The 16253-nt window shown below is 33.9% G+C and overlaps 1 protein-coding gene across 4 annotated transcripts in view; it reads right to left on the reverse strand.

The window, feature by feature from the left end:
* Positions 1 to 842: 842 nt before the first annotated feature.
* The window catches only part of VWDE (von Willebrand factor D and EGF domains), a 72981-nt gene continuing 57570 nt past the window's right edge, over positions 843 to 16253 (reverse strand). For all 4 annotated transcript variants that reach the window (NR_144534.2, NM_001346973.2, NM_001346972.2 and 1 more), the window contains 10 exons: positions 14332 to 14427; positions 14153 to 14248; positions 13041 to 13136; positions 12017 to 12112; positions 10280 to 10375; positions 7135 to 7230; positions 6946 to 7041; positions 6099 to 6194; positions 3423 to 3526; positions 843 to 1155 (listed from right to left, as the gene is read on the reverse strand). Coding sequence is in view for 3 of the 4 variants with exons in the window: in NM_001346973.2 (NP_001333902.1) it covers positions 1141 to 1155; positions 3423 to 3526; positions 6099 to 6194; positions 6946 to 7041; positions 7135 to 7230; positions 10280 to 10375; positions 12017 to 12112; positions 13041 to 13136; positions 14153 to 14248; positions 14332 to 14427 (887 nt within the window). In the remaining variant the exon portion in view is untranslated. The remainder of the gene's footprint in view (positions 1156 to 3422; positions 3527 to 6098; positions 6195 to 6945; positions 7042 to 7134; positions 7231 to 10279; positions 10376 to 12016; positions 12113 to 13040; positions 13137 to 14152; positions 14249 to 14331; positions 14428 to 16253) is intronic.

Raw genomic sequence — 16253 nt, forward strand, 5'->3', positions numbered from 1 at the left:
AAAATATGAGATAGCAGGAAAAAGGAAACTTTATAACCCCAGGTAACTTGCAATTATTTGGGTCTCTGAGGCAAATCTTTTAATTATATGTGTATTCCTTGTTGTTGTTACCCACTTCCCCAACTATTCATGTATTGTAATTTAACTTTGTTTTTATTAAGCATCCAGATACACTTTTCTTGTGATATCTGTAGAAGGATTTGGTTTTGTGATCATCTCTCTCGATTCATATACCAAAATGGATCATGGTACAGAAAAAATGGAAAGATGGAAGAGCAATCAGATGCAGACCTTTTAGCATGTCTGGTGTTTGTTTTCTCACTTTTGGGCCCAGGACACCACTGCCACTTTTTGTAAGGCTGGGAATTACATTTTTCAGAATCCACTTACCTGTGTGGTTCTGGGTCAGAGTTTGCCAATGAGAAAAATTTGCTGGAGAGTCAGAAGAAGGAAATGAAGAGGAAGCCATCAGTCTTTTCAGAGGTGTTTGCAGCTTGATGCTTGGAAAGATGAAATTCACAGTGGCTTTCTAGCAAAATTTTGAGAATAATCCACTTTGCCTGAGACAGTTGGTGGTAGTTTTTAAAGATTCTCAAGTATTATAGCAGCTCCGGGAAAGCCTCTGAAAAGAACCTGCTTGGAGCTTTGGGCTAACGTCTTCATTATTACCTACTCTGATCAGCGGTGGCTTTCCTAACCTGTAGCTCCCAACCCTCATTCCCCATTCTTCAAATACTTACTTCTGTGAGCCCCTCGTTCTGCATTAAGCATCATTTATTAGGATGATATCAAGTGGCTTCCATTAGGCTGACTGACTCCTAATGATGCAGACATAGTCACAGTTAGGGCTGAGAAAATATTCAGTTTATTAAATATTGTGAATGGGTGGAATATCAGATACATCATCTCAATATGTAAATATCCTATCCCATCTCAACATCAAATTTAGATTACCTGGATTTCTTCTTTGCTTTTCTCTATGATTACAACAGAGATCATTATGTATTTTATTAGTTTCTTCAGTCTTTAAGATATTTTTTGAATGATGTTCAAATAAACTCCAAGTTATCTCCAACTTTTTCTGAACAAAATATTTCCATTCTTAAGATACAGGCTTGTAATTCATATACTTGATGCTACTCAATGGCGTCTTATCTGTAGTAGGAAGAAGGAAATTGTGTTTCAATGAATAGTATAAAATCATTTAACCCTTACTCATTATTTGTTGCCTCCTTCCCTCTGACATGATACGTAAAGCTCTTTTGGTTCTGTTTGCCACTAGACTCAATACTGTTTTCATAAAATTGAAATCAAATCAAGATCATACTTAAGGTCCAAGCTGTCATAACCAAATGGAGCTTGCATACTAGGTGATTCCATCGTGGCAAAATGTTACACTTTAGAAACATCCATGCCCAATAAAACTAATTAATGTTTTGATATCCCTCAGGAAAAAACCACTGATACTCATAACACATTGCAGTGTTTCTCTGAAGTGTCTTTCCCCATCCTTTTCTTTCTCCACCTCTTTCTATTCCTCTATTGGATGTAATTAGTTACAAACTCTTACATAGTGCTTGTTATGTCCCAGGCACCACTCTAGGTACTTCACATATATTAACATATTTAATCCTTACAATAAGCCTAACATTAGGTGCTACTATTAATGCCATATTGCAGATGAGAAAACTGAGACTGAGGGGGTTAAACTTGCCTGAAATCACAGAGCAAATAAGTGGCAGGGTCAGAGTGAGTGCACTCAGCCACAAGCAGGAGGTTATGATGCTTCTCAAAGCCTTTTATCAACCCACCCTCTTTAGCACCTTTTTCTTCCTTTACTTATTTTCCCTTTCTCTGTGTTTCTTGTCTCTAGCCAGTAATTCTTTTTCATTGAAATTCTAGCAATGCAATCAGTAAGCTCCATTTCTTTTTTTTACCCACTATCTCAGGTTGCCTGAGGAAGAGCCAGGAGGTAGTTAGCCAGTCTGAACCCTCCTTTGGGGAAGGTAGGGAAGAGGGGAGCAAGGGATGGAGTTGGAGAAGGTTCTATGGATACCCATGGATGGTGATTGCTTTTTTCCCCACTAAAGAGAAATTTATGTTTTAACCTATGTGTGGGAGACAAAGAAATATCGAAAGCAAGTAAAGAAAAAAAAGACACCAGTGATCAACAGAATAAAGCCAGAATGAGATTGAAGTTAGAAGCTTGGGAGAGCAGGTTACAGTAGAACAGGACATATTGTCCTCATGCTTAGCCTTTTATGCCCTTTTCCTTCCCCATGGCCTTCTGGCATTTTTTCCCCTTAGTGTGATTTTAAATGCATTCTTAGAAGCAGCATTAATGGGGATAAAGATGATTTGCTATTGATCATATGAGGAAGGATTCAGATGGCAAATAAATACATAAAATAGAATATAGAGCAGCCACCTAGTTTAGTACTGTCAAAGTGGAGTTAAAAAGCTTTAGAGGTCATAGGGTTTTCTGTGCCATAAAAATCTCACATCAAATCAAATCAAATAATATATACTTAGGCTGCCTTCAAACCCAAGGAAGCTCAAGCTTTTATTTTTATTTTTCTCAAACAATATTTAATCAAATAAGTACTCAATAACTTTTGCTTTCCAGTTTTCAAACCATAGCCCTATTATGATCTGGTTATTTTCACAATGGGGGCCAATCCTACAGGATGACACCAGTGCTCGGAGAAAACTATACATATATCCATTTTGTCTCCAAGCCAAATTGATCCATATCAAGCTTCAAGAAGAAAATTTCTAATCAGTTGTCAAATTCTGGTACTCCAGCATACTTTTATATTCATGACCCTGGGGCATTTTGAAGTGCTAAATAGCATATAATGACTTTTTAAATTACAACTCCTACATATTAACTTTAAGACATTTTTGAGAGGTTTGCTGCATTTGTCTGTATGTTTGTATGAGAGAGAGAGAGATTATTAGAACTACCCTTGTGTGTATAGGAATTAGGACTGAAATAACATCTCGGCTGTTGATATTTGGAAATTTAAGATTAGAGACAAAACACAATGCAGTTTAATCCTATATGAAGAAATAAGATCACAGAAACTTTTTAAATATATGTTTTATAGCACTGGCCCTACAAATAAGTGTCTTGAATCTATATTGTGGAACATTTGCTGTCTCAACTACAGTGTCATGAAATACTGCGTTACATTGGACAGTTGTATCTATACATTGAAATTCCTTAAATACACATCAAAATTTTATATAATAACTCTACCAAAACACAAAAATGATACAATTTTTAATTTTAGAGGCAAATAAATGCTTTTTTTATTTTGGAAATAATAAAAAAACATTAATTAGTAACAATTACTAAGTAGAAGAGATATGCAAATGTCAATGTCTAATATTTATTTTCTCTTTAAACTCTGAAATACCTGTATTTTCTTCTCACATTTGACTCCAGAGTATTCAGTGCGGCAGGAACACACATTGGGAAATATGCATCTGCCTCCATAAAGACATTTTGGGTTGCAAATTGCTGCAATACACAAATTTTTACAATGACCATCCTTTGACATGAAATGCTTGTGGCATATTCTATCCTAGTGGTCTGGGGCTATCTGGTGATTGGACACCAATGCAGTCATAAGAATCTATTAATGAACCATCAATGAATGGATCTAATCTATGTACTCTTGTCTTTCAGAGCACACGCACACATCAAAAACAAAGCACCCAAAATTCAAACAACACTTTTGGAATTCTATAAAGATATTATTAAAAGAAACAAAAATTTCATTGGCTACATTTTGAAGTATTTGAAATATATCTCTTTTTTTTTCTAGAGGAGCTGAAGTCATTAACAGAAGATAGCATCTATAATTTACTTTTTAACATTAAGCAAAAATTTAAAAGAGACAACCCAGTACTGGCTAGTGTATGGAAAATTTGACAATTTTTATACTATCATTGGAAGTTTAATGTGAAATAACTACTGAAAATTTCTGAAAGATACTCATGCTGTCTATATCATACATTTCTTACTTGAAATCTTTCCCAAGGCAATTAAAAATACCTACATCTATCTCAATATCTCAATATCTCAATCTATTTATCATCTACCTGTAGAAAGAAAATACTTATAATACTTAATAATAACTTGTAAATAACTAAAATGTTAAACATAAGAGGGGAAGTAAAGGGAATTTTTGTAGTATTTATATTATGGAACTTAATATATTGCTTTAAATTTTGTTTTTAAACAACATAAATTCTTTCAAACAATATTGAGTGAAAATGAGCGTACCACAAAATTATATATAATAGTTATTTTTATAGGACAAATACTGCTTCAATATCACATACTTGAAGCTTACACATTCAAGAATAATTTGTCCTTTAAGATAAATGCAACATTGACAGGGTTGTTTTCATCAGGCTGCTGTATACAATTGGGCAGGTTGTGAAATCCACGAGGGCTCCACAGCTGAGAAAGCACCATTCACATGATACATATCATAGATTTGAATTTTTATTACAACAATTTTCCAACAGATGGTAGTAACATATTTTGTTTAAGAAATATCATTATATTAAGACAATTTCTCAATAGTTTGAAATAAAGAATTTGAAGTAGGATGACTTTTAAATTCACATAAAAATGCTGCAGGATGCAGAAACAGGGTGCACAGCTTCAGGCTGTGCTCAGACAACCTCAATCTGCAACCACTGAAGCATATTTCCCCATTAATATGCTTTTAACATCTTCTCATCCTTCTCTCTTATGGTCCGCATAGAGCTTACTCCAGAACAAGCACCCAAGTTGAGGTTGCTAACTTTTTTTTTCTAGCATTTTATCACATCTAAATTCCAATTGGAATTATCAATATTTGAGCATACATATCTTATGTAAATACCAGCACTTAATAGTACTTTCATATATTTTTCTAGGATAAGAAATGTATACATTACAATAGCAATTACTAATAAATTAGGGTCTAAGAGTCACAAAAACTACATGCAAAATTTCTGATGCATGGAAACAAGGGTATGGTTCATAAGACATTGAAATGGAGGGTACATTATTTCTAGTAAAAAGGCATGATCATAATAAATCTGTGTAATTTCAGTTTACAATACACTTGGCCACCAATTTTTAAATTATGTAATTATTAATCATTTGGAAATATTTTGAGGGATTTGCAGTTTTTCCCATTAAGTTAATCATTGTTAATATTTTAACATCTTTTTTCAAGTTTCCACAAAAAATTTCAAAATTGCATGAAATTTGATCTTCCTCTACATCTTAAGATTTCATCTATGTAGAAATTTATAACTAATACTGGATGGAGATATACTAAAACTCTAAAAAAGCAACCGAAATTAATTCTAGATGGTGAAATTTAGAGTGACTATTTTTTTTTTCTTTTTTTACTTTTTTTTTGAGACGGAGTCTCGCTCTGTCGCCCAGGCCGGAGTGCAGTGGCGCGATCTCTGCTCACTGCAAGCTCTGCCTCCAGGGTTCACGCCATTCTCCTGCCTCAGACTCCTGAGTAGCTGGGACTACAGGCGCCTGCCACCACGCCTGGCTAATTTTTTGTATTTTTAGTAGAGACGGGGTTTCACCGTGTTAGCCAGGATGGTCTCGATCTCCTGACCTGGTGATCCGCTGGCCTTGGCCTCCCAAAGTGCTGGGATTACAGGCGTGAGCCACTGCACCCGGCCTAGAGTGATTAATTTTTAATACATTTTCATATTTTCTAAGGTATCCATGATACATATGTATTTATCTTATAATATGAAATAATATTTAAACTTCTATATATCAATACCTTCTTTGGCCCACCTGGGGAAACTTTATTGGTAATCCACAGACCATAATTTGAAATTATCTCTTCACACAAACTATTAATATATTATACTACACTTTTTTCTTTTAAATGGATATAAAATTTAGGAAGTTTTTGTTTTATATCTAAAATCATTTTTTAAAAAGGATCAGCATGCTGGAGTTTTTTCCCCCTTATGGACTTGTCCTAAAGCTATACTTTAATTATTATAACAGATTCCAATTCAGAACATATAGTAGGAAAAACATCCTGTGGGCTTACGTATTTGACACCGCACTCCTTCCCAGGAGGAAGGACAATGGCATATGCTGGGCGCAATGCATTCACCACCGTTTTTACATTTCTGCAAGCAGATAGCTGCCAATCGAAATATAAACAAGTTAAAATTTTAAATTACTAGTCAAATCCTATCCATAACCCACAAAACTTTTCATTAGAGAGAAAAAAAGAAATAGTTACAAGTAAGTGATTAAAGAAATTTTTCCCTAATATTTTATCAAGAACATTTTTGAATGTCACTACATATTCTTGGAAAATGTGACCTTAACAGTTGCAAAATGTTCCATTGTTTGAATGCGTCGTGATTTAACTTTTCTCCAGTTGTTGGACATCTATGTTGCTTCTCATTTTTTCATTTTGATCAAAACATTCTAGTAGCAGCTAATTTAAAACAATTTATAGAAAGGAAAAAAATGAAACATTTGAATAAAGACAGCCACCCTCAGGAGCTAACCAGCCTGAGTGGCACTGTTATCTTCTCTTGGAAAGGTCAGAACTGGATGGTTTGAGGTGGGGCCAAGAAGTCAGTAATTTTTAAAACCTTTCCCCAACCCCAACTTCAGGACTTAAGGACTTGTTATTTTTTCTGGCAAGTGCAGTAGAAAAACTGAAAAATACAAGATATCCTCTTCTGCTAACCTGAAAGAATGAGTTCAGAAGAGTAAAAACTCTTTGTGTTTCAAAGAGGTATCTCCTAAAGCAAGAATAAATATGCAAAAATTTTAAAAAGACCAAGCAAACAAAAGTGAAAAAAATGCTCTGTTTTAAACTCTGCTTTACATTCCCATGAAGGACGAAAGCTTCAGTGTTTTAAGAGTATTCCTCTTACGTGTGTTGCATCGTTTCCCACTCCAACCAGAAGGACAAGAGCAAGTGCTTGGTCCCACACATTTTCCTCCATTCATGCACGTAGGATCACAGATGCCTTAAGGTAAAAGCATGAAAAGTCAGCCCTTAAATTCAACAGTTTTGTCTTGGCTTTAGCTGTAGTTGACAAATACATTTAGTGATGTCTTACTTTTTTGGAATCTCCTACCAGTGTATCCTTCACGACAGACGCACACATTATTTCTCATGCAGTGGCCACCATTCTTACAGGGAGGGTGACAGAAAGCTAAAAGAACACATGGCAGCAATCTGTGAATATTACACATCCCATTACTACATATGATACATTGCATCATGTGCTTGTCATCAATGAGGACATAAGGCAGAGAAATGTGCTATTAAAATAAAAGATCACTCATTAAACCTGTCCTTTCTAAATCATGAAATGCAATGCTTATACCTATAAGCTACTAGTGGGTTAGCACAATTTGAAATATATTGGTTAAGTGTTCATAACAAATTGAGTCTTTCATATTACAATGAATATATTATAAACCTTATGTTTCACTATACAATAAAGCATGGAATGATCTAGACAAAACCCAGAAAATAAGTCAAAACGTAGCTCAAAATAAGAATGTGCCTGTTCTTGTGGAAATTAGACAAATCTCAACAATTTTCCACATATTTAAAAAGCACTTTTAAATTAGCTTTCGAGTACTTACTGAGGTTATGAAGGCACAGCTTTATATGTGACTTATTCCAGAGAATGCTTGGTAAAAATATTTTTAACAATAAATCCTTGGTTTTGTTAAGAATATTTGTTAGATAATTTTGAATATATCTTACTGGTAGTTCCTATTTGTATAATTCTGTTTTATGAAATTCAGAGTAACGTTAATATGTATTAATTTTATGAGATGGTTATGATTACTTCATGTTTCTTCCATATATGGAAATTAAATGCAGGCATTTCTTTTAAGTAATACACAGGCAAGCCTGTCCAGAAAATTTAAAATTTAATTTCTTCCTAAATAATAATTAAATAAATGTTAGTTTGTATTTTAAAAATAAATTTCAAATTAACTGGTATTAATAACAGGACTAGTGTGGACTGACGCCCTGTTTGAATTACTAGCTGCTTTCTTTATTTCCAAACACTGTAAGAAAAATTCTACTGTTTTCAAATGGATTTTAAATGGAAATAATATAGAACTTTATAGTAATAATATAACTGAAAGCTTTTAGCAAACAGATAATTTCCAGTATTTTAGGCTGAAGTTTTTTTTGGTTCATGCTTGAGTCTACTGTTATTTCTCTGACATTTTATTGATACTTTTTATTGGTAGAGAAATGTTCTTACATTTTCTGCTCCCTATCCTTCATACAATTTAAGATTATTATTATTTATTAGAAAATATATATTCTTTCTACTACAAAAACTCCATATAAAATGCCTGTGGTTAGGAATTTGAAACGTAAAAAAGCTCCACAAATTGTTTATGATGCGTAATCTTGCTATAATTAATCATCCACAAAAACTTGAAGTGTAGAAATAAATTATTTATACAAAAAAGCATACATACTTAAAATAATATATACAAAGGGCATACAATTTAAGGGTGGCCATGTCTACCCATAGTCTCACATTAGGAAAACGAGGTTTATGAGAAAATCCACCCTCCACATATATTTATGAGATCTATAGGCCTCATTCTGTCACCAAATCCTGAAGTGGGCTAAGTAATTGGATTCACTCTCCATGTGAAATCCAAGAGGTGAAGCAAATTGGAAGGTGTATTTAAATATCTCTCCAGCCATACATCCTAAGCCTTGCTTACTAGTTTAGTAGTTTAACTTTTTTGTGATGTTTCTAGCTCAATTTCTATCTTCCTCTTTTAAAATTCTATAGTGCACATAGTATATGTTTTTCATATGATTTTACATTCCACCTAATTTTATTCAATCACTTTCAATGTGTGTGCCATCTTCCCTTCCCACCATTTAGGCTCACAACAAGATGAGATCTAATAAGAATTACATGTCATAGCAACTGTCTAGATCATACTTGAAAGCCAGAAAGTCTGAGGCATGGAGCCTTCAAGTAAATACCAGCAAGAAAGCTGTGGAGGCAAGCTCATTGTAAAACCTACTCTCTCCCCACAATGATAATCTGTTTTCTGGCCCTTAAAGCATGGAATACGTTCAATAGATAATTTTTAATTCAGTTTAATAATTGAGAGATTTCTTCCTTTATCCACTTATACAACTGGCATATACATTTTAGAGAACTTTTCTTACTTCATCTTACAACTACTTCAAGTAGCATGAAAGATGTAACGTTTTCATTTCCTTCCTTACATTCTCCATTCAAAACTACATATATAACTCTTTAGCATGGATTTAACCATAGTCTTCTAGTTTTCAAGATTTCCCTTAACTTAGTCTTTACTTCTTTCTGTTTCTCAAACTGCTTCTTCAAAGGAATACGAATTACAGGAACTCATTCGCTATGCCCGTATATCCTGTGTTAGCGGGATGACTTCTTTTCTGCTTTATTTCCATCCTAAGAATCCTAGCCAACATCCAAAATAAAAGAAATAGAATTGCAAATCAAAGTGCATCGTGGCAAGGAAAACCTAAATTTTAGGAATTAAATTATGGAAATACTCTGACATGTTCTATAGTAAAAATCTACTCTACATTTTTAATAAACTCGAAAATATGAAGATGTAGAAAATACACATTACATATTATTGGTTGACATTAATTCATACCCTCAAGACATCCCCATTATTCCGAAAATAACCTGCAATATTAACTATATGAGGGAAAGTGTTAAAATACTAAGCCCATGAAAGAGAAAAACAATGCATTTTTATGTCTCTGTATCTTCTTGCGTAGCGCTGTGCACAGGTGATTCTTCATAAATGTTTAATGAAACTAAGGTGAAAAGAGATTATGGGATAATAGTGGACAGTAGATTGACCATAAATCAAACATTTTTGCTGTGTAGGCAACAAAAATGACACAATTTCATTATAACAGACTACAAGAGAACTTTGCTTATCTGTTTCATACCTTGGGCCTACAAAGCTGCACAGAGAGATGCCAAGGTATGAGCTTCAATATATCGAGTAAATATAACCGTTTTACATAATAACTTTGATATATTTTTGTAAGCTAGTAATTTGGTGGGCATACTTGAAACATCGCAAGAATTCTGGGGAAAAAATCGCATCTTTCCCTTTGAAACTTGTCTCATGTTTACTCAGAGCTCTGTTGATATCTAACTTTCCATTTGCCCTTTTTACATACAAAGAAAGAATAATTACCATTCTGACAGTGTTCCCCAAAGAATCCATTTGGACAGAGGCAAGTATTTGGCTTATTACACGAACCACCATTGAGGCAGACAGGGTCGCACAAAGCTAATAAACAGCAGGAGGAAAAGAGAACATAAAAGTTTTATTATTTAAAAAATGAAAGCTGCACAGAAGTGCAAAATGGTGCATAATGAAATATTTTATTTTTACTGCAAGTAAAGCCCATAATGTATAATTAATTAGACTTTGCCAAACATAAGAGGAATGAAATTACTGGATAATCGCTTTGAAAGTATGTTCATTAAGTTTACAAATAACACTAAGCTTAGAAAAGCTAGAAAGGGAGCTGGAATTTAAAGTGGCGGTGTTTGTCCAAGATGACGGTGCTCCTGCTCTATCAAGAATGTAGAGGCTATGATTAGAATTCAGAATGCCTTCACTAAGCTAGAAGAAACGATTGCAAGTTAAGAGAAGACAATTCAATTCAACAGTGTTAACAGGATGGTTTGTAATCTGTTCAAATACATGTAGCCATGCACACCTCTTTATCGCCTTCCCAATTAAAATGAGAACACTGCACTCAAGTCCTAGCACACTCAAAAACATTCTTTGTTTTTGCTTCTTTATTTTTGTTTTGCTTTGAAAGACATCCCCAATTTTATTTTTCACCCTAGATCCTACCCATTCACCAACATCTACTACAAATACTATTTTCTTCCTCACTCCACTTGCCAAAATTAATTTCTTCCTTCTCTGCTTCTAAGGAACTGTGTTTCAATAACATTACTTATCATAACTCAACTTGTATCATAGTCTTTTTTATAATTTTATAATTTTATAATTCTGTCACTAACAATATGCGACTTGAAATGAGGGCAAAAATCAAGTGGATCCTTGTTTCCATTTGCATCATGCTTCACAAATAATTGGCCAGCTATAAACATTGAATTACACTTTCATTGAGAAAAAGTCATTAGATTATAATGAATTAGATCAAACATAGATAACTGCAAACATTGCTGCCAAAGAAACAAGCTTACGCCGGGCGCAGTGGCTCACGCTTGTAATCCCAGTACTTTGAGAGGCTGAGGCAGGCGGATCACGAGGTCAGGAGTTTGAGACCAGTCTGACCAACATGGTGAAACCCCGTCTCTACTAAAAATACAAAAATTAGCTAGGCATGGTGGCATGCTCCTGTAATCCCAGCTACTCGGGAGGCTGAGGCAGGAGAATCACTTGAACCTGGGAGGCAGAAGTTACAGTGAGCCAAGATCGCCCCACTGCACTCCAGCCTGGGCGACAGAGTGAGACTCTGTCTAAATGAAAAAAAAAAGCCTAATACTGTGATAAATAAATGGAATAACATGAAGGGTATCCACTTAATTCAGAATTGCTTAGATATTTAATGAAATAGGATGTTTGTATTGCGATGAAAAACTTAAAAGAAACCTAGAAGATTCAACACGTTTCTCTTCACCACAAGGTAGGTGAATGAGGGAAATATAAAAGCAAAAAAAGTATTGGTTGGTTAAGATAACAGTAAAGCTGTAAGACACCATACGGTTCAACATAAAAACAAAGGGAATGAAGATGAAAGAGTTTTAAAAATCTGTCTGAAATAACAACTTCATACCTATCTACCTGTCTTGTCAGGTCAGTTTTATGTTTCTTAGGTGCACGTCTTCAGGACATTGGCATATTTTAACTTTTAATTGACATGTTCATTGAAAATATTTCCAATTTTACCTGTACTACAGGTGGGTCCATACCAGCCAGGTTTGCACTGGCAAATATCTGGTGTAAGACACTGGCCTCCATTTTCACAGTGCCTGTTACAAACCACTGAGATCATAGAATAAAGAGAAAAGAAAGATTAGGCTTGGAGTAGTCATATTGTTGGTTATTATCTAGCTAGCTCATAACTGCTAATCACATCTGCTAATTAATAAGATTGCAGAGAAAGATAAAATACAATTTATATTCGGGTTTCAAATGCTTTCTGATTCTCATATTCAGTTATTTTATTTTATTTTTGGTTAATAGAGAGGGAAAAAATAGAAAACCATTGAGCCAAGTGATAAACAAGACTTGGCTATTTGGGAAAATTATTAGTTATTGATGAAAGCAATCATAGACATAAATTTAAAAAGAAATTTATATGCAATTTAACAGATTTGAATTCCTGTTTTCTCAAAGAAAGACCATGAATAGCATCATATCTTAGTACTGGCCACTGTGGTTGATATCAGTGCTATGCAAGATGGTAACTGTTGTCATCAATCATCAATGTGTGTTCTTTTTATTTTTTTCCTGGGATAAATCTATTTTATTTATTTATTTATTTATTTTCCATTTTCTATTATTATGATTATTATTATTATTATTATACTTCAAGTTTTAGGGTACATGTGCACAATGTGCAGGTTAGTTACATATGTATACATGTGCCATGCTGGTGTGCTGCACCCATCAACTCGTCATTTAGCATTAGGTATATCTCCTAATGCCATCCCTCCCCCATCCCCCCACCCCACAACAGTCCCCAGAGTGTGATGTTCCCCTTCCTGTGTCCATGTGATCCCATTGTTCAATTCCCACCTATGAGTGAGAACATGCGGTGTTTGGTTTTTTGTCCTTGCGATAGTTTACAAGAACTATCACAATGTGTGTTCTTTACGTAGAGTTTGGGTTCATTTCACGTAGCATTAAGGCCATCAACTATTCAAAGAAGCAGTTTCATTATATCAGACATCAGGAGAGCTTTGCTTACTTGTTTCACACCTTGGTCCTACAAAACCATAAGGACAAGTGCAGAGATTCCCAGCCAAGCATGTGCCACCATGTTGACAAGGTGGGTTACAATGTTCTGCAGAAACAGATTATGTTATTATGTCAGTTCTTAATTTTTAAAAAGTCAGTTTATATTTATAAAGCACTGTCACAATAAAATCTTGTTGTAAGAGTAATTTATAATACATTAAGCTCTCTTTTACTACAAAACTTAGTTCTGTGGGACTGACTATATTAATTCACACTGGAAACACTTACAAATCAACAGCATGCTTTGATTAATAAAACGTTTTGTTAACTGGAAGAAAATATAGGACCTTGGCCTTCTTCTGAAAAGTGAGATTTGAACTTACTTATTCCTGCCTTACAAATAGAGCTTTTCTATAGTTCCATAGTTATTTTCATATGCTATTTTTATTGAATGTTTCTATTAGTTCACCCTAAATTTACTTTAATTTGTTAATTTGTAGCTTGCTTTGCCATAAAAACATTTAACATGGCTCTCAGCTTATCCATAATTATATGCACCATCTACCAAACTACCTTTTCACATATTATTTTAAAATAAACAACTTATTTCTTTAAAGTATCATCCACTTTAGGAATGCTATTTCATAAATTTTCCGCTTAAGATTTAAACCAAAGCAATGCAATTATATGGCTACAGATGTATTTTTACAAATTCACTTTTTAGGTTTCTTCTTACTACTTTACATTTTCTAGTTATTTGGCATTTAACACTTTATTTGAACCATATTTGGTAGATCATTCAATAGCTGTCTTTGCTTGAAGCTAAAACATTTGTAGATATATAGTACCTTATAACTAAACCTCAAATCATTTCAGAGGGTAATTTTACCAATAACAAATAAGCTATTGCCCCTTGAATCTCTGATTTCAGAAATTTAATTCTTTAGAATCTTTGAATAAATTATATTTAATAAGTATTTTAAAATGTAGAGTCCTATACCAGCTTTGATAAGAATATTTTAATATATACACAGTAAAACTGAATTGTCTTGTAAAATGGTTTTTAAAGAAAATTATGCTATATTTTAGGCCTTATATTTGATTTTTAATTTGAATTATCACCTTCATCACAGGTTGCTCCACCATGTCCTGGAAGACACTGACAAATGTTAGGCTTAATACATTTTCCATGGTTTTTGCAATCAGGGTCACAAAGAGCTGTATAAAATAAAGCCCAAGTTTTAGACATATCAATTACCAAATACAATTTATCATGCAAACTAATGAATGATGTTACCTACCAGTTTGGCAGTTAGAACCAATGTAACCAGGTTTACATTTGCAGATGTTTGGGGCAACACACTCCCTACTTTTTCCACATGGATATTTACAAATGGCTAAAAAAAAATCAAAGAAAAAAAGGTTGATTGCTAAAACAGAACATACATATTGCTCAGAGACTTAGTTATGATAGAAGCAAAAGTCTCTGAAGTTTGAATAGTTAACTAATAGTCCCTCTAGATAATACTGAGAACGTAAGAATACTCCAACAACTCTCTTGCTTAAGTTTAGTCTCAAACAAGCCAAAACACAAACAAAGCAAAACAGTAACACAACAGTAACACAAGACAGCTTCTATGTTGCCAAAGCCAAAAAGTTGATTTTCATCAGAGAAAACAATGTTAATAATTGTGAGAAGATAGAAACAATGCCTTTAAAATTAAAGTGATATATAACTTGCTGTAATCTCGAAAGAGTTGGAAAGATTACAGAGAAACCTAGTTCATGCAAATAAGCAAATATGCCAGAATTAGTATTTGAAGTGCCAAATGCCCACCGTGAGCTGAAAAGAATACAGACCACAATGTTAATCAGATCTATATTGACATCTTTTATCTGTTTAGCTGATTAATGCTGGGAAATTCAGTGGGCACTCCAAAACTCTGTTTTCTCATCTGTATAATGGGAAAAATAATACCCAATTTGTGGGGTTCATGTGGATAATATGACACAGTTGATACAAAATGTTTCCACAGACCCTGGAACACAGAAAGTACTCAAATATATTTGTAATATATATTATATAGTTGTAATACTCTATAATATTAACATGATTTTAATAAATAACTCAGCAGACCCACTTTTGTTCTTTCAAAATGTGATGAGAATACAGTATAAATGATCAATAAATAAAATAAACGGAAATAAGTGAACTAAGCAGAATAAATAGAAATTAGTATATGGAAAAGCATATCTTTTTAATAACTTAAACTTGAATTAGATAATTTTCTTTGTATCTTCTGAAGAGTTTCATACTACCTCTGCAATTGATACCATCTCCATAATACCCAAAGGGGCAGCGTCCACATTGGAAGTGACCATCTGAGCTTGGCACACAGGAAACACCAAGAAAACAAGGCTAGCCAGCACAAGGTGATATTTTGGTTGATCCAAACTTTTCTGGCAAAATAGCAATTGCTTTTGTAATAGATGACACAAACTCATCTTCATACTGTGTGTAACCTTGGGAAGACCTGCTAATTTGAGAATATACCCTCCTGTCTCTGTTTGGATGGTGTTCTGGATATCATCATTTGCTTTGCCATGGGTGTTGTTTGGGTTCCTGCTTAAAGAGCTACTGTTCTTCACAGAAACTTCCAACTCACCCAGACTGAGATTTGTACTGAGACTACGATCCACATGTTCAATATCTGATATCTGATGGGAAATAGGCTTTACTGAATTATCCATTTGGGCTGTAATTAATTTCAGTGATGAGCGGGAGATGTTGTTAGTTGTGCTCAGTAACTTTTTGATAGTAGCGGGAGTAGGAGTAAATCTTGTACTAATTAGTGAATATTCTGTTGATGGTGGCTGAAAATTTATAGCTACACAACCAAAAAATAAAAAACGTTAGTCAATAGCATTTATAAATAGTCTTCTCTACCTGAAATATTTTACATTAAGTAATTCATTCCTTCATTTAGTATCTACACATGTCTAACATTGTAGTAGGAGCTGTGTACTAACAAGAAATCATGACACTGTTTCTGCCTTCAAGGAGCTTATAATCTTTTGGGGTACACAAGATAACCCAGAATGTTAAATAGTATAAAAGTCAAAGTACAATAATTTATTTCATTAAGATTTTGAAATGGCTAACAAACACCTGTTGATCACCTCATACACATGAGCCTCAAAACAAAGGAAAGCACAGCCCCTA

Source organism: Homo sapiens, chromosome 7, assembly GCF_000001405.40.
Source record: "Homo sapiens chromosome 7, GRCh38.p14 Primary Assembly".
NCBI classification, from domain to species: domain Eukaryota; kingdom Metazoa; phylum Chordata; class Mammalia; order Primates; family Hominidae; genus Homo; species Homo sapiens.